At 36.1% G+C, this 16,551-nt stretch overlaps 1 protein-coding gene and 1 long non-coding RNA gene across 9 annotated transcripts in view, besides 1 other annotated feature; one reads left to right on the top strand and one right to left on the bottom strand.

The window, feature by feature from the left end:
* The window catches only part of TRIM59-IFT80 (TRIM59-IFT80 readthrough (NMD candidate)), a 258,294-nt gene that overhangs the window by 50,302 nt on the left and 191,441 nt on the right, over positions 1 to 16,551 (top strand). The gene's annotated exons all lie outside the window — the stretch shown is intronic.
* Positions 493 to 16,551, bottom strand: part of SMC4 (structural maintenance of chromosomes 4) — a 35,304-nt gene continuing 19,245 nt past the window's right edge. For all 6 annotated transcript variants that reach the window (XM_011512311.3, NM_001002800.3, XM_006713459.5 and 3 more), the window contains 13 exons: positions 15,903 to 16,088; positions 14,545 to 14,706; positions 11,796 to 12,021; positions 11,606 to 11,685; positions 10,427 to 10,579; positions 9,246 to 9,372; positions 6,504 to 6,693; positions 4,703 to 4,847; positions 4,241 to 4,414; positions 3,621 to 3,803; positions 2,931 to 3,163; positions 2,237 to 2,420; positions 493 to 1,789 (listed from right to left, as the gene is read on the bottom strand). In XM_011512311.3, the coding sequence (XP_011510613.1) occupies positions 1,637 to 1,789; positions 2,237 to 2,420; positions 2,931 to 3,163; positions 3,621 to 3,803; positions 4,241 to 4,414; positions 4,703 to 4,847; positions 6,504 to 6,693; positions 9,246 to 9,372; positions 10,427 to 10,579; positions 11,606 to 11,685; positions 11,796 to 12,021; positions 14,545 to 14,706; positions 15,903 to 16,088 (2,196 nt within the window). In that variant the 3' untranslated portion in view covers positions 493 to 1,636. The remainder of the gene's footprint in view (positions 1,790 to 2,236; positions 2,421 to 2,930; positions 3,164 to 3,620; positions 3,804 to 4,240; positions 4,415 to 4,702; positions 4,848 to 6,503; positions 6,694 to 9,245; positions 9,373 to 10,426; positions 10,580 to 11,605; positions 11,686 to 11,795; positions 12,022 to 14,544; positions 14,707 to 15,902; positions 16,089 to 16,551) is intronic.
* Positions 2,845 to 4,044: an enhancer, noted in NCBI's record as "CDK7 strongly-dependent group 2 enhancer chr3:160149190-160150389 (GRCh37/hg19 assembly coordinates)". NCBI's record gives its function as "activates an origin of replication core promoter dependent on BRD2, BRD4, P300/CBP, MED14 and CDK7 cofactors, with strong dependence on CDK7, by STARR-seq in HCT116 cells {active_cell/tissue: HCT116}" and the evidence as "EXISTENCE:reporter gene assay evidence [ECO:0000049][PMID:35650434]".

Here is a 16,551-nt window from a genome sequence, read left to right as displayed (position 1 = left end):
ATGGGTTCTGGGTACTTCTAATTCTTTGAAACTTAGTACTGCAGGCTGGGTGCAGTGGCTCATGCCTATAGTCCAGCACTTTGGGAGGCTGAGGCAGGCAGATCACTTGAGGCCAGGAGTTTGAGACCAGCTTGGCCAACATGGCAAAACCCTGTCTACCAAAAACACAAAAATTAGCTGGGCACTGTGGTGTGCACCTGTAGTCCCAGCTACTCATGTGGCTGAGGCACTTGAATCGCTTGAACCCGTGAGGCAGGGTTGCAGTGAGCCAAGATCTTGCCACAGCACTCCACCCTGGGTGATGCAGTGAGACTTTCAAAAAAAAAAAAAAAATCTGAGCTCTACTGCATTGGTTATTAAAATATAATAAAAGTATTAAATTCTATTTTCGCACCAAATGAAAACACTTGATTATCATTATAGCACTTTAAACTTACTTTTCCCTTATATATTCTTGATTTAGAACAAATTACCGTACTTGAATTTCCGATCTTGCTTTCTTTAAATCTTTATTTAAAAGTCCATGCTAATAATGTGTTTACATTTTTACAGTTACATTATGATAGAAACTGTTGGATTTTTTAAATATCTAAAACAATGGCCCACTGAAGAAAGGAACAATTAACTCTTTAATTAATTCCTTAGGATAAATACCCAGAAATTTAACAGCTAGGGCAGACTTCTAATACAATACCGAAAGTCCTTCCAAAAACCAAGTGGTTGCCAACTTATGTCCCTTAGCATTATAACATTCTTGAGCCAATAGTGTAAAAATACGCTGACAATTTTATAGGCAAACATTACTCAAGGTATCTTACTTTCCACTTATTACTAAAGTAATTAACCCCTAAATAGATGCTCCTCAACAGTGGGACTACATCCTGGTAAACCTATCATAAGTTGAAACTATCAAGTTGAAATGCATTTAGTACCCGGATAAACCTATCATAAAGTTGAAAATTTGTAAATTGAACCAGTGTAAATCAGAGGCCATCTTACTTCATACTCATGAAGCAACTATAGTGGGATATTTTTCAACTTACGAGATAGCCTAGGCTTGTTGAAACACTGTCCTAATTTACTGGCTCTCTGGTAATTAAGTCATAAATGGTCAAACATCAAATTCTAGAAAAGCATATATTTAAATTCTCATCACTATAATTCAGAATGACTGGTTTACAAAAATATGTTCATAGTATTTGGGTAATAACTGTGGTGATTGTCTCAACTGGCAAGCTAAGTGGAATGCCTTAAAGAATCTATCCAAGATTAGTTGGCAGGCATTTCCAGTGTTGGTAAATCAAAGGCCCACGAAGGTATGCTGAGCCTTGATAGCACAACCTTGCTTAGGACTTTGCCTCAACTAACATACTTTTTAGTTTGGCAAGTTACCTGACCCTCCAGGTAACTCATTTTTCTCCATAGTCTGCTACTTACAAGATTGTCATATTTTTGTAATCTAGAAGCAATTATAGAGAATATTTTATTAGACTTTACAAATGACAACTGCATAAAACAGAAACCAGTTTCATGATCTAGTTTAGGGAGTATGTATTTTATACAACTCATAATCCTTTACAAATAGAAAAAAATCAGTAATACACTGAATCAACTTGAAGAATCTTCAGCATAAAGTTCAACAAAGTCCCTTAGATGCAATTTCTTTTGGATTTACAGCAACACTTTTTGTTATGTTGTATGTCTTGTAAATTCCAATAAGTCTATCCGAAATCTCAAACATATTATTTCGAAGAGAAATTATTATGAACTGTGCATTTTTTGTTTGTTCCTAAAGAGAAACAAAGAAAAGTCAAACATTAAGTAATAACAGGTAAATCACACAAACATGTAACCTCAAATATTTTTTGGACAATAAACATTACATTGATAACATGTAAAGGAATGATGGCAGGAATAATTCATAAAACAGTATTTGAGTGTGAAAGGAATTTGGTTATTTTGACTTCTAGTGGAAAAGATCTAGGAAGATGACCTAGGATTCTAGCTGTGATTCTGCTACTAATTTGCATTTTTAATTTATATTTTACTCCTCCAAAATGGAAATATTTGGTTCAAATAAAAAATAATTTGGTCTCCACTGATACCAGAGGAGATGGAGATGGAGTTATTAGACAATAAAGAAAAAGCTCAATTGTAAGAAATAAAGAATTCCATGTGTAATGTTTAGGATACCCCTAAAAGTTTCTGGAATGAAAATCCCAAAATGATTACTTACATATATATAAAATGCAACAATGGACACATTTTTAAAATCAAGGGCTGCATCAATCTCATCCATGAAGTAAAGGGGAGTGGGCTTGTAGTGGTGAAGAGCAAATACTAAAGCCAATGAACTAAGTGTTTTCTCTCCTCCCGAAAGGTTGAAGATCTTTTTCCAACTTTTCTTAGGTGGTCGAACACTGAAATGATTAAGAAAATCATAGTCAAATTACCTGTAAAGCTAAAGTTAAGACTTTGTGATTTGCTTTCCATAATTGAGTTCTACTATCTTTTTTAGGAATCTGTAACTTGCTTTTCACAAATATGAATTCTCTTTTCTGTTATTTTATAAAAACGTTATTGGAGGATGCATACATAGGAGCACATACCAAAGTTTTAAGATTTAAAGAGCAAGCTAAGTATTATACTTCTTGCTATTCTTTCTCCTTATCAAATACAATTTCTCAATCCTCATGTTAAAAATGCCTTGAAAATTTAAGAAAAGATGAACTAGACAAATATTTTGTAAATACTGGCTGTCTGCCCCTGTAAACTGCAAGCATAAATAGCATGCAAGCAAATTAGTATTTACTAGTAAATGAAACAAGTTGTACATCTTGCCTTCACATCCTACCTCCAAGAAATACTGAGTTTGGAGAATATGTAGAAAAAGGTAACAGTGGGATTATAAACTCAGCATAATTACACACCTGAACATGATTCCTTCAGAGAAAGGATCCAAGCTGTCTACAAGCTCGAGTTCGGCGTCCCCTCCCAAAGTAAGCATTTGGTAATTTTCCTTTAATTTATTTGTTATTATATAAAAACCTGCCATAAATTCATTAAGCCTTTGTTTCCGAAGATCTTCATATGCCTGTCTAAAACTGTCTCTTTCATAAGTAATTTTGTCCAATTCTGCTACCCGTTGCAAATACAATTCTTCCTGTGAAAAGATTATGATAGGGAAAATCTATTCAGATAAATTTGATATGATAATTAGCATTGTTAATTATTACTTTGTTTTGAGACGTAGTCTTGCCCTGACGCCCAGGCTGGAGTGCAATGGCGCGATCTCGGCTCACGGCAACCTCCACCTCCCAGGTTCAAGCGATTCTCCTGCCTCAGCCTCCCGAGTACCCGGGATTACAGGCACGTGCCACAACGCCTGGCTAATTTTTTGTATCTTTAATAGAGATGAGGTTTCACTATGTTGGCCCAGCTGGTCTCGAACTCCTGACCTTGTGATCCACCCGCCTTTGGCCTCCCAAAGTGCTGGGATTACAGGCGTGAGCCACCACGCCCGGCCAACAGCATTGTTAATTATACAAAACTAAAGATCAGAATTTAGGCTAAGGACTAAAAAGAACTCCAACTAGTATACATACACAGTTCATTCATACCTTCTTTTTATACTCTGCGATGGCACCGAGGTTTGGTTTCATTTCATGACACCGGGCTTCCAAAAGTGCAATTTGATTTGTTATAGAATCTGGATTCTTGATCGCTTCAAGATCCTCTGGGCTTAGAACCGAAATCTCTTCAATAGGATTATCTTCTATAGGATGCAGTGATATTTTTGAAATCTAAAAGTTCAATTTAGGGGAGAGTTAGAGAAGGCATAATATTACATACAATTCATTGTTTAAAAAAAAATATGACAAATTACACAGCTATGAAAACAACAGGAGTTGTGACTGATTTATCAATTATTTTTCAAAGGACTTCAAGAAAAATAGTTGTAACACTCAAAAGTGTCCATGTAATCTTTTCTTAAATGTCCAGATCAGCCCTAGGGTGAAAGGGTAGTTGTCTAATTCTAATCGTTACTCAGACTTTTCTGTATATAACAATTTATATTGTTATGTCCCCTATAAACCTTAGAAGTGATCACAGAATTAAAAATCACAATGTAGCTCACAAACAAAATTTAAGAACCCCAACCCCCTAAAACAATCCTCCCCAAACCCTCCTTTTTCATAAAGAATATGTTTAAAATTAAACTAAACGGTAACAATCTCACCTCTTTGTGCCAATATTTTATTTTAGAATTATGTTCAGCAATGTGACCATCTATTTGTTCAAGTTTCAACTTAATACTAAGTGCATCTTTTTGAAGAGCATGTTCATTTTCTTGAATAACTTTTAATTCTTGAAGCAGATTGCGATGTTCTTTCTGGATCTCTGGTAAGGATTCCTAAACACCGAAAAGAACTGCTAGATAGAATTTTCCAAATAGAGCCATCATTTTCACATTACAGAGATGAAGGAATTACCAATCTCTCCTCATGCCCCTTCCATTTTAAAATAATTTAAGCATTTAAATTCACAAATTATAGTATTCTTATTGTACAAATAAAAATTGATAGTTATAAAACTTTAAGTCTATGAGTGCTTACTACATTCTAGGCACTGTCATATATCCAGCTCTTTAAATTGGTTCCAGTATCATCCCATCTCCTCTTCAATACAAAGCAACTCATACCTCTGCAGCATTTGTATTCTTTACGACCTCTGCTGCTTTGTCCTCAAGACTTTTCAGCTCTGCTGTTAGGTCATCCACCTCTTTCTCAGTATCTTTTATTTCTTTCTCTGTACGCAAGACAGAGTCTTGTGCCTTTTGAAGGTTTCTAAAGAAGCAAAATGATGCATCAAAAATGTGGTAAGGTGATTTGTTATTGTTTCTGAAAACCTACTAAAGAACTTTTCATGAAATTTAATGTGACATTTTTTCTATTCATATATTTTTAAGTTTATGATTTACTAAACCATCCTTAAATCAGTTTTTGTAGGTTTATACAAACACTTATGGGATGAGTTGTATATTTTTAATTATAAATGCCTTTCTTATATAAGCTGCTTGTATCATTCAACTTTAGACTGATGCAACACTGTCCATTAGATTATCAAATTCTTTTGTCATTTTCTCGTCAGAGATTGTTAAATCTCTACACCCATAAAGTTGTACCTTCAAATACTTCCCAATTCAAGACAAGGCAACAAGTACTTCCAAAAAAGCAAGACACTACTTCTCCCTTATTACCTCCTTATCTCTGAGCAAAACACTCTGGATTAATTTAACCAGATAATCAATATGCAATCAATTTGTTAAAATTTTTTCTAAAAAAAGAAATGGCTATTTAAATTTCAATATTTTATATACATACCTAACTTTATTTCAGACACACTTCAATAAATACTCTAAAAAAATTAAGGCCGGGTGCGGTGGCTCATGCCTGTAATCCCAGCACTTTGGGAGGCTGAGGCAGGGGGACCATGACGTCAGGAGTTCAAGACCAGCCTGACCAACATGGTGAAACCCTGTCTCTACTAAAAATACAAAAATTAGCAGGGCCTGGTAGCGTGTGCCTGTAATCCCAGCTACTTGGGAGGCTGAGACAGGAGAATCACTTGAACCTGGGAGGCGGAGGCTGCAGTGAGCCGAGATCGCGCCACTGTACTCCAGCCTGGATGGCAGAGCGAGACTGTCTCAAAAAGAAAAAAAAAAAAAAAAAAACCTAAGTAGATAAATCTTTTTTTTTAAGGACAATGAAATCTTCTAGGTATTTAAAATTTTAAGGTGGCTGGGTGCAGTGGCTCATGCCTGTAATCTCAGTCTTTTGGGAGGCCAAGGCAAGAGGACTGCTTCAGCCCAGGAGTTCAAGACCTGCCTGGGAAACATGGCAAAACTCTGGTCTCTACAAAAAAAATACAAAAATTAGCCAGGTGTTGTAGTGCATTCCTGTAGTCCCAGCTACTTGGGAGGTTGAGGTGGGAGGACTGCCTGAGCCTGGGAGATTGAGGCTGCAGTGAGCCCTGACTGTGCCACTGCACTCCAACCTGGGCAACACAGCAAGACTCTGTATCAAAAAATAAAAATAAAAACTAAAATGTAAGTTACCAAGAGAATTAATTTTGCTAAGTGATCCCATTTTTACCTCTTTTACTTATTCTTTTAAGGCCTGTATCTATTTAAATTAAGGACCAACTACTCCCTCCCCGAGACCAGAGAAACAAAACTGATTTCTATGCCCTCACAGCAACTGGGGAGTTACAGTCTACCTGTACTTTCCTATGGCATACCTGTTTACCAGCCTTTTTAATTGGCCATAGGATAAATGTTCATTATAGGTTTTCCGTCATGGAAGTCCCATTAGGTAATGTGTCAGACAGGTTCAATAAATTAACAGTAAGAGAAACATTTTATGGAACATTACATAGTAACCCCCTTTCCAATGTGAAGGCAGGGAAAGGGAAAACAAGTTAGGGTAACATGCATACTCTACCTGTCAGCAGTCTTGATTGCTACTTGGGCTTTAGTAATAGCAGAAGCACATTCATCTAATTGCTTATTTATTTTATCAAGTTTGTCTTGTTGGGCCTTGAGTTTATGATTATTGATTTCTACGATGGTATTGTGTAAGCGTTTAACCTCAGCTTCTACTTTACCAGCTTTCTCAGCCACAGCATCATATTCTGAAATTAAAAAATAAAGAACCTAATTTGTGTTTTTATGCTAATGAACATCATTTGTTAGATGTACATTTCTTCAGTTGCTATGACTTGACGTGATGCATTAAAACAAATTTTAGGCATATGGGAAAAAGCACCTTAAAAAAAAAAACGATATCCTGTATCAAAACAAATGGTGTTACAACAATGCACAAAGTTAAACACACTAGCTCGGCTGTAAACACACCATTTCTTAATGGCTTCATGTTCTCAGCTTCTTTTAAAATATCTTTACAACTTTTTCTTAGGGCACTTCCTTGACTACTGAGTTCATAATGATTTTTAGCCTTAGATACACTATGTGCCTAACTCAATATTAACTTGCCCACAATGAAGAAATTGTGGTTATTTTCTTCTGCTAACATAACTTCGCAGTTCTCCACATTAAAACAAAGTGGAGGATATAAGATGAATTAGCGTTCCTTCCTGTGACAACGAAGAGTAAAAGTTAACATTTCCCAGATTCCTCTGTGGCTAGGGTTTAGACATAATTTAGGTCAATTCAATCAAAAGTACTTGCATAATTTGGAAGGCATAAACAAATTGGACATGTTTCTTCTGGCAAGCAGTCACACAGAAGTCTGGATTTTCTGTAACGAAGTTAGAGGTTCTCCAGCTCTATGGCCCAGGATGGAGTGCAGTGGCGCCATCGCAGCTCACTGCAACCTCCATCCACCTCCCAGGTTCAAGCCATTCTCGTGGTTCAGCTTACCATGTAGCTGGGATTATAAGCATGTGCCACCACACCCGGCGTGTGTGTGTGTTTGTGTGTGTGCGTGCGTGTGTATTTTTCAAAGAGATGGGGTTTCACCATGTTGGCCAGGCTGGTCTCAAACTCCTGATCTCAAGTGATCTGCCTGCCTTGGCCTTCCCAAGTGCTGGGATTACAGGTGTGAGCCACCATGCGCAGCCCAATTTATCTTAAATATAAAATGTTTGCACAGATTTCGATATAATGGTTTACTGTAGCCTTTATTTAAAAATATGAATATGTTCAATAGTTGAAAATATTTAATTTTAAAGATATGCTTGCACAAATGGGTCCTCCACATGAGATATTAACAGTCTCCTGATAATATATGGCATTTCTATGAGAGGAGATATATAGAGCTCCTAACAAAGTCAAGGATTCCTTTTCAAATAAGGATGAAACACATATAGACTCTTGCAGTCTCTCCATGAAAATGTTGCCATTAATAGCACAGATATACATTTTGGCTTCTCAATTGACCATCAGGTACCATCAAAGCCATTGTTGTGGGTGCTTGCAGGGAAAGGGGAGTGTGGGTGAAGGCCTCAGAGAATCTGGGTTCTTCCGTCCTTTATTCCAGCCACAATGGTTTGTGTTCCCAGCATACTCCTGCTTCAGCCTTTGTATTTGCTCCTTTATACTCTTCTTGGAATGCTTTTTTCTCAAACATACATGGGTTAGCACTCATACTTTCTTTGGGCCTCCACTCAAATATGTGCCATCTTACATGTGTGCTCCCTGGGAAGAGACTTTATTTTTGTTTACTGCTCTATCAGTAGGACCTAAAACAAAGCCTGGCCAGTAGCAGATACTATTTGAGTGCCTGAATATTAGAAATGCAGATAAACACAGACACAAATTAATATAAATGCACATTTGATATGCATTGTGGAAATGTGTCAACATTTAAAAATCTTTTTCTTTTGGAAGAAAATCCCCACATTTTTGGAGCAGTTGGATAATCGCTCCAACTCCACTCTCATTAGTTCTTTGGGATGGTTAATCAGTATTTGTCTTCCTTGGCTCACAAAGCAAACTGTAACAGGGATCTGTCTTAAGAATAAAATGAACCTTGCTGTGTTTGCTGGAGTCACTAGCTAAGATTCTGTAAACCTGGAAGGGGACTGTGGCATAATCCACTATCCCTTCTCCCATTAAGATGCACATCTATGTTTGATTGAAGCCAACATGGAAAGACAAGCACAGCTGCTCAAGTGCATGATCAGGGGATTTCAATTAAGGCTACAGAGCCAATTCTGCCTGTGAATTCCTTTTCCTGCCTAAAGATTCTATTTTGGTAGAACATTTACATGTCTATAACTGCACAAGAAGAAGTTATGAAAGAAAAAAAATACATATATATATATTTTAAGTTTTCAAGTACACATTGTTTTTCTTTGATTGCATACCACTTATTCCCTGTGTTATCTGAGTGATATAATTTTTCTAAATCTATAACCACTATCTTGAAGGGGTTTTGGAAAGATTAGGGCCAAAGTATACAAAGTATGACATTAAAAGCATGGACTCAAAAATCACCTATTCCTATACCACCACGTGCTGTGTGACCTTAGGCAAATGCCTCAGTTTCCTTATTTGTCAAATGAGACTATTAATAACACTTACTTTATAACAAACACCATAAAATAGTGCAATGACTTGCATATACTTAGCTTCTATTATTATTCTACTGCTTCTTAAATATTGCAAGCTTTAAAAACCTGTTTTTTTTTTCCCCCCAAAAAAGGTCTATCTCTAAACATACCTGTTTTGAAAGCACTAACGTTTTCTTCTAGCAATTTCTGCTTTTTTTTGTCAGGGGCTGTAGCAAGTACATTAGCTTCAAGTTCCTTAACTTGGACATTCAAATATTCTTCTTGCTCTATTAAACGCTACAAAAAAGTTTTAACATTTAAGGTCAATATTTTAACATTTGCTTTAAACATTGTGAATTTTTAAAAAGGGCACTTAAAATCTTCAAGAAAAAGACACACACTAATAGGAAGAGGAAAGATATGTGCCATTGATATAAAAAATGAAAATGGCCAACAAACACAAAATATGTAAGCTCATTATAAAGACACGTTAAAATGCCACATTTCTGTTTACAAGGTAGCAAACTTATGTAGACCACCCTAGTGTTCAAAGACTTGGAAAAATAATTATTTGAATATGCTGTTAGTAGTGCATGAATTATAACTTTTGAAAACAATCTGGCATTATGCAACAAATGCCTTAAACATTGTACACATATGGTGTAATACTTGTAATTTTTGAAATCTAAGGAAATAACTGAATCAAGGTATACCTACAAGGATTTTTTTAAACATAGCCATGTACATAATACAAAAAAAATTTGTCAAATTATGTTATAAACAAAATGCTCTAAAGCAATTAAAAACAAAGTACATTTATACTGCCTTGGAAAGAAAACCATAATTTAAGAAAAGCTAGTATGACATTAAAAAAACCATATGCACACTTTATATATCTACACATATCTACCACATATATAAATACATTACATGCAAACTAGGTATTAGAAAAGTTGAAAGAACATACGTCAAAATGAAGGTGATCATTTGGGTATTTTCTGGAAACTTATTAAAAAAACAGTGGGCGTGCATTGCTTTTTCATAATTAAAAAAAATTCCACTTTGAAAAGAGAATAAAAATAAAGGGTCATATAGTTGTTAAGGAAAGTAATGTTTCTATGGAGTACAAACGGAAAACAGGAATAGCTGTGGTTGGAACAACACTGTGACAGGGCGTTATCTATTAGTACTCAGTGAAACAAAATCATCAAGAGTTATATCTGCCTATAGATCCTCCCTCCCTTATATATTTAATAAATTGTAAGCAAATAGCAAAATGGTTCTGATAAATTCCAGTTGAATCCCAATAGTTTCAGTACACACACACACACACACACACACACACACATACCTGGATGCTTGCAGTAAATTTTTCTAGTGTGTTCCTCATTTCTCGTTCACTATGCCGTAACTTAACTACTCTTTCTTCAAGTTGTACTTTCTGTTCTTGGATTTGCATTGCTTTTTTAGAGTCGTTTTGCAACTGTGATTCCATTTTGTTTACCTACAAAGAAAGTTTTCTCTAAGAGCCATTTCAGATTGACAGAAAAGTCAACTTACGAAGAAAACTAAAACTTCTGTCGCCCAGGCTGGAGTGCAATGGCGCGGTCTCAGCTCACTGCAACCTCCGCCTCCCGGGTTCAAGCGATTCTCCTGCCTCAGCCTCCTGAGTAGCTGGGACTGTTACAGGTGCGTGCCACCACGCCCGGCTAATTTTTGTGTTTTTAGTAGAGACGTGGTTTCCCTATGTTGGCCAGGCTGGTCTTGAACTCCTGACCTTGTGATCTGACAGCCTCAGACTCCCAAAGTGCTGGGATTACAGGTGTGAGCCACCGCGCCCAGCCTAAAACTTCTGATCTTAAAGACCAGAACAAAATCAAACCACCTGTTCCAATCCCAATCTTAAAGTTCAGGAGATGGTCAAGTAATTTCTTGATCAGAAAATCAGATGGAAAGGTAACTAAGTGTTGTACAGTCACCTATTATTTCAATGAAGGTACAGCATTCAAATACTTAAGCAGAAGGACATAAACTTGTATTTTCAAAATACGGGAGGGAAAAAAATCAAAGCACAACACTTTGGGAAAAGGTGTTCAAGCTATTTCAGAACATGTTTTTGAGGAGGAAAAAAGTTTAAAATACTCTGAAGTTGAGATTTGCATCAAGTCTTTGCTATACTTTTAAAGAATTATTTTGAAGTAAAAAATTATGTAATACAGCAATAATACAAAAAAAACCCCAATAAATTAAATGTAAAACAGAAATAATTATGTAAGTTATGGAATATCTGTATGATCCAAATGTACTAATTAAAAAGTGTACTTTGAGCATATAGTTTCTGATTAATATTTTGTTTTCTAAAACTTTAAAGGGCTTTACATAAAAAATCCCTAGTCATTTATAGAAAACGCCATCTATTAAAATTTGAGTACACCATACTTAAAATGGCCAAATTTTGTAGTAAGTATATACCTCGGTAAAGCTATTTAAAAAAAAAAAAAAGTCTGGATACAATTTTAGATATGCTGACCTCTTCTTCAGAGATTTCAATAACAAGTGAGGAACCCATTCTTCCTTTCATTACTTTGCTTCCACCACCAGTCATTGTACCTGGAAAACAGGGGAGAGAAGTCAGCTTCAGATGTCTCCCCAACAAGATTAAATAAAGTCAATGCTGTGGGGGGAAAAAAAAACAAACCAAGAAACAAAAACACTATTACCTGACTGTTCTATGATTTGTCCCTGTAAAGTTACCACTCTCCATCTTCTATCTTTTTGATATGCTACTCTTGTGGCTTGATCCAAGTTGTCAGCTACTAAGGTATCTCGTAAAGCAAAATAAAAAGCTTGGCGAATTTTCTCATCTTTTACTTTTACTAAATCAAATAAACGAGGAGTATTTTCAGGAGTTTGAATTTCGGTCATCTTTTTCGCCCATACAGCCATCTAAAAGTAAACAAACAAACAAACAAAAACAACAGTTAACAAAAAAGAAAACTCAAAAAAAAAAACAAAAAAAAACCCATAGGAATAAATTCAACAAAAGAAACAAGAATTATACACAAAAGGTTCTAAAATTAGACCTAAACGGAAGACATCTCATGTTTGTGGTTCTAAAGATTTAATACCGTTAAGATGCCTATACTATCTAAACTGATCTACAAATTCAATACAACCTGTATCAAAATCCCAGTTACTTCCTCGCCTTTTTTTGTGGCAGTAATTGACCATCTGGATCTTAAAAGTCATATATACAAATTATAGGGACCCAGAACAGTCAATATGATAAAGAACAAAATTAGAGGACTCAGACTTCCTGATTTTAAAACTTATTACAATGCTGCAATAATCAAGACAGTGTCCTATACCAGCACAAGTAATAAAACTGAAAGCCCAGAAATAAACCTTTACATTAATGGTTGGGTGGTTTCAACAAGGATGCCAAGAAAATTCAATGGGGTAAAGAATCTTTTCAACAAATGGTGTTGGAATAACTGGATAGCCACATGGAAAGAGTAGTTTGAGCCCTACTTTATATCACGTGATAAAATTAACTCAAAATAGATTAAAACCTAAATATAAAGCCAAAACTATAGAACTTTTAGAAGAAAACAAAGGAGGCAAATCACTGTGACCTTGGATTAGGCAGTGGTTTCTTGGGTATGATACCCAAAACACAAGCAACCAAAGGAAAAAAAAGATAAATTGTGCCTCAAAGGATACCATCAAGAAAGTGAAAATACAATCCAAGGAATGGGGTAAAATATCTGTAAATCATATCTCACAAGAGACTTGTATTCAGAATAGAGAAATCCTACAACTCAACAAAGAGAAACCAATTAAAAAATGGGCAAAGGATTTGAAACAGACATTTCTCCAAGGAAGATAACAAATGGCCAAGGACATGAAAGGACTTTTACTATCATAAATCACCAGGAAAATCCTAATCAAAACCATGAGATACCACTTCATATTCACTAAGATGACTATAATCAAAAAGATGTACCATAACAAGTGTTAACGAGGATGTAAAGAAACTGGAACCCTTACACATGCTTGTGGGAAATGGTACAGCCACTGTGGAAACAATCTTGACAGTTCTTCAAAAAGTTAAACATAGAATTACCACATGACCCAGCAGTTCTACCCTAGGTATATATATACCCAAGAGAACTGAAAATACATGTTCACTCAAAAACTTGTACACAAATGTTCGTAGCACAAGTATTGCCAAAGCACAAAAAGTGAAAACACAAATGTCCATCAACTGACAAATGGTTATACAAAATGATGTAACAGAATACCATTTGGCAATAAAAGGGAATGAAGTACTGATACATGCTACAACATAGATGAACCTGAAAACCTGCTAAGTAAATGTAGCTGTATAAAAAGGCCATATATTGTATGATTCCATTTATATGTAGATAAATCTACAGAAACAAAAAAGTAGTTAGTGTTACGGAGGGGGTGAAGGGGTATAGGGAGCGACTGTTACTGTCTATGGGGTTTCTTTCTGGGAGTGATAAAAATATCTTGGAATTAGATAGTGGTCATGGGTGAACAACACTGTGAATATACTAATACCCACCAAATTACATACTTTAAAATGATTGTTTTGTTTGTTGTTTTTGAGTCTCACTCTGTCACCCAGACTGGAGTGCAGTGGCGCAATCTAGGTTCACTGCAACCTCCACCTCCCAGGTTTAGGCAATTCTCCTGCTTCAGCCTCCCGAGTAGCTGAGATTACAGGCGCCTGCTACCATGCCTAGCTAATTTTTGTATTTTTAGTAGAGATGGGATTTCGCCATGTTGGCCAGGCTGGTCTCAAACTCCTGACCTCGTGATCCGCCCGCCTTGGCCTCCCAAAGTGCTGGGATTACAGGCATGAGCCACCGCACCTGGCCTAAAATGATAAATTTTATTGTAGGTAAATTATCTCAATAAAGGTTTTCCTTTTAACTCTGGAATGTACATTCCTTTAGTGGAGGCACTGCAAATGTCAAACAATTTTTTATAATCATATAACCCCAGAACATAAAATAATCGTCAAAACCCATCAGGTGTTCACTGAGTAACCATTAAGAAAAAGCCTGAATCCAAAAAGAAAAACACACTTAGCACTTAAAAATTCAATTATAGGGCTGGGTGTGGTGGCTCACGCCTGTAATCCCAGCACTCTGGGAGGCCGAGGTGGGCGGATCACAAGGTCAGGAGATCCAGACCATCCTGGCTAACACAGTGAAACCCCTCTCTACTGAAAATACAAAAAAATTAGCTGGGTGTGGTGGCGGGCACCTGTAGTACCAGATACTCGGGAGGCTGAGGCAGGAGAATGGTGTGAACCCGGGAGGCGGAGCTTGCAGTGAGCCAAGATCATGCCACTGCACTCCAGCCTGGGTGACAGAGCGAGACTACGTCTCAAAAAAAAAAAATTCCAATTATAGGTAGGTTATTACGAATACCCACCTTATCTAAACCTATAAAGGTTGCAACTCCAATATTTTGTCTTTTAAGGAAGTTTACACATTCTTGGGCTATATCAATAGAATCAACAACAATGTAGTCCAGTGCATGACAACAGGATGATATAGCCACGTCGTATTTTTCATCAATGGCTCCTAAGTCCCCCTAATAATGAAGAGTGGGGTGAAAAAAGAGTTAGGCAGAAAAGCACAGGACCATTTCATTCATCAAGTTTTAAAAACTTCTTTTAATTGAAAAACTTTATGTAGACATGGTTTTAAAGAGAACAAAAGGGTACACAACAAAATACAAAATATGTATAAGTTTATGAATATGCAGCTTGAATTTCTAATGAGCACAAAATGAAAGAACTGTTTTCATTTTATGAAAACAACATGAAGCTTAAAACCTAAATGAACTATAAGCAAAACTCAGAAAACTTTGAATTATTGAAAAGCATCTAAAATTATGTAAATCCTGATGAAACACATTTATCTGTTTATCTATTACACAACTATCTAGCAGTATTCACTGGTTTGGGCTTTCTTTGAGAGCAAATGAATAGGATCAAACTGTTTATCTTTAAGAAAATAAGGTGGAAGTCCCGATACAAGATGCAGAAGCAATCATGTTGGGTAATTTTTACATCAATTTGTTCCCTTCTCCGAAAGGCTGACTTAAGGACTGCATCAACTGGCTCCTTTGACTCTCCACCTTCAGCCAATTTGAGGTTTCAGCTAAGACTGGAGGGCAGGAAATAGGTGGGGTTAAGGTATCCATTTTCCCCATCTCCTCTGGACCACAACTCCCTTCCCTCGAAGCTAAGAAGCAGTAATGGTCCTCACTATTGCTAGCCTTGGATTTTTAGATTATCCCTTGTTATATCCTTAAATGCTAGCCCAAACCTAAGTAAAATGGTGTGAAACCCCAAATATATAAAAAAATTTTTTTTAATTTTCATTTTTTAAAAAACAGTCTTGCTATATTGCCCAGGATGGACTTGAACTCCTAGGCTCAAGTGATCCTTCTGCCTCTGCCTCTCCAACAGCTGGGACTACAGGCACACACCATTGTGCCTGGCTAAAGTCTCTCTTTTAAAAAAAAGGATAAAATGGTTTTAAGTTTGTGTGACATTACTAGTATTTTTCTTGATATGTATGAAATAATTGTATTTATCTAAAGCTAAGTAAACAAGAAACTGTAAGGGCAAAATGTTTAAAAATAAATGTGCCTTAAAACAAACAAAATGAATCTTATTTTATATACAGTGACACTTGAAATATGGTTGTCAAGGCAAAAAAATAAGTTACACTTTCTTAAAAAAAAAAAGTAAAGCCATGCCCCCCAAAAATCTACTTTACCAATCTTCCATATATTCCTGGAATCCTGCCAGATTTTTTTTCTTGAATTATTGCATCAAGGACTTTCCCCCTACTTCGATTCATTGCTAATGAGCTCTTTGCTTCTTCAACTTTTTGAAAGAGATCATGAACCAAACTTTTAAAGTTTGTTTCTTCTTGTGTAAGTTTTTGAAGTTCTTTTTCTTTCTAAAAGTGAAAATAAAATGAAATCCAGAAGCATTAACTTCTAAATATGACCAGTCATAGCACTGAATTAGTTGTAATGCTTTAATAACAATAAAGAAAGAAAGACCAACAATAAAAATTTGAACCAAAACTGAGCACCTGTATGGCAATTGCTGGTTTGGTTGTGGAAAATATGGATGGGTTTAAAAGGGGCATAAATTACTTGGGTCAATAAAAGAAAACATTAGGTGTAATATTTTTTTCAGGAGCAAACAGTTCATCCTGATAGAGAAGTATAGCTGGGGCTGTGGAAATCCCAGTTTGATACTACATAGTTATACATAAGTGTGCCCTAATTCTTCAGCTCTGCCCTAATGAAAAGCTGACCCAGAAAATGACTGGGCAGGACTACGGTTATGCTGTGCTTTATTTTAGCTGAACGGGGCTGGGGGGTACTGGAGAAAAAGCACACCTCTGAAACGAA

This window comes from Homo sapiens, chromosome 3, assembly GCF_000001405.40.
Source record: "Homo sapiens chromosome 3, GRCh38.p14 Primary Assembly".
Lineage (NCBI taxonomy): Eukaryota > Metazoa > Chordata > Mammalia > Primates > Hominidae > Homo > Homo sapiens.
Note: the sequence above shows the minus strand (reverse complement) of the source record. Positions and strands in the feature narration are given on the sequence as shown.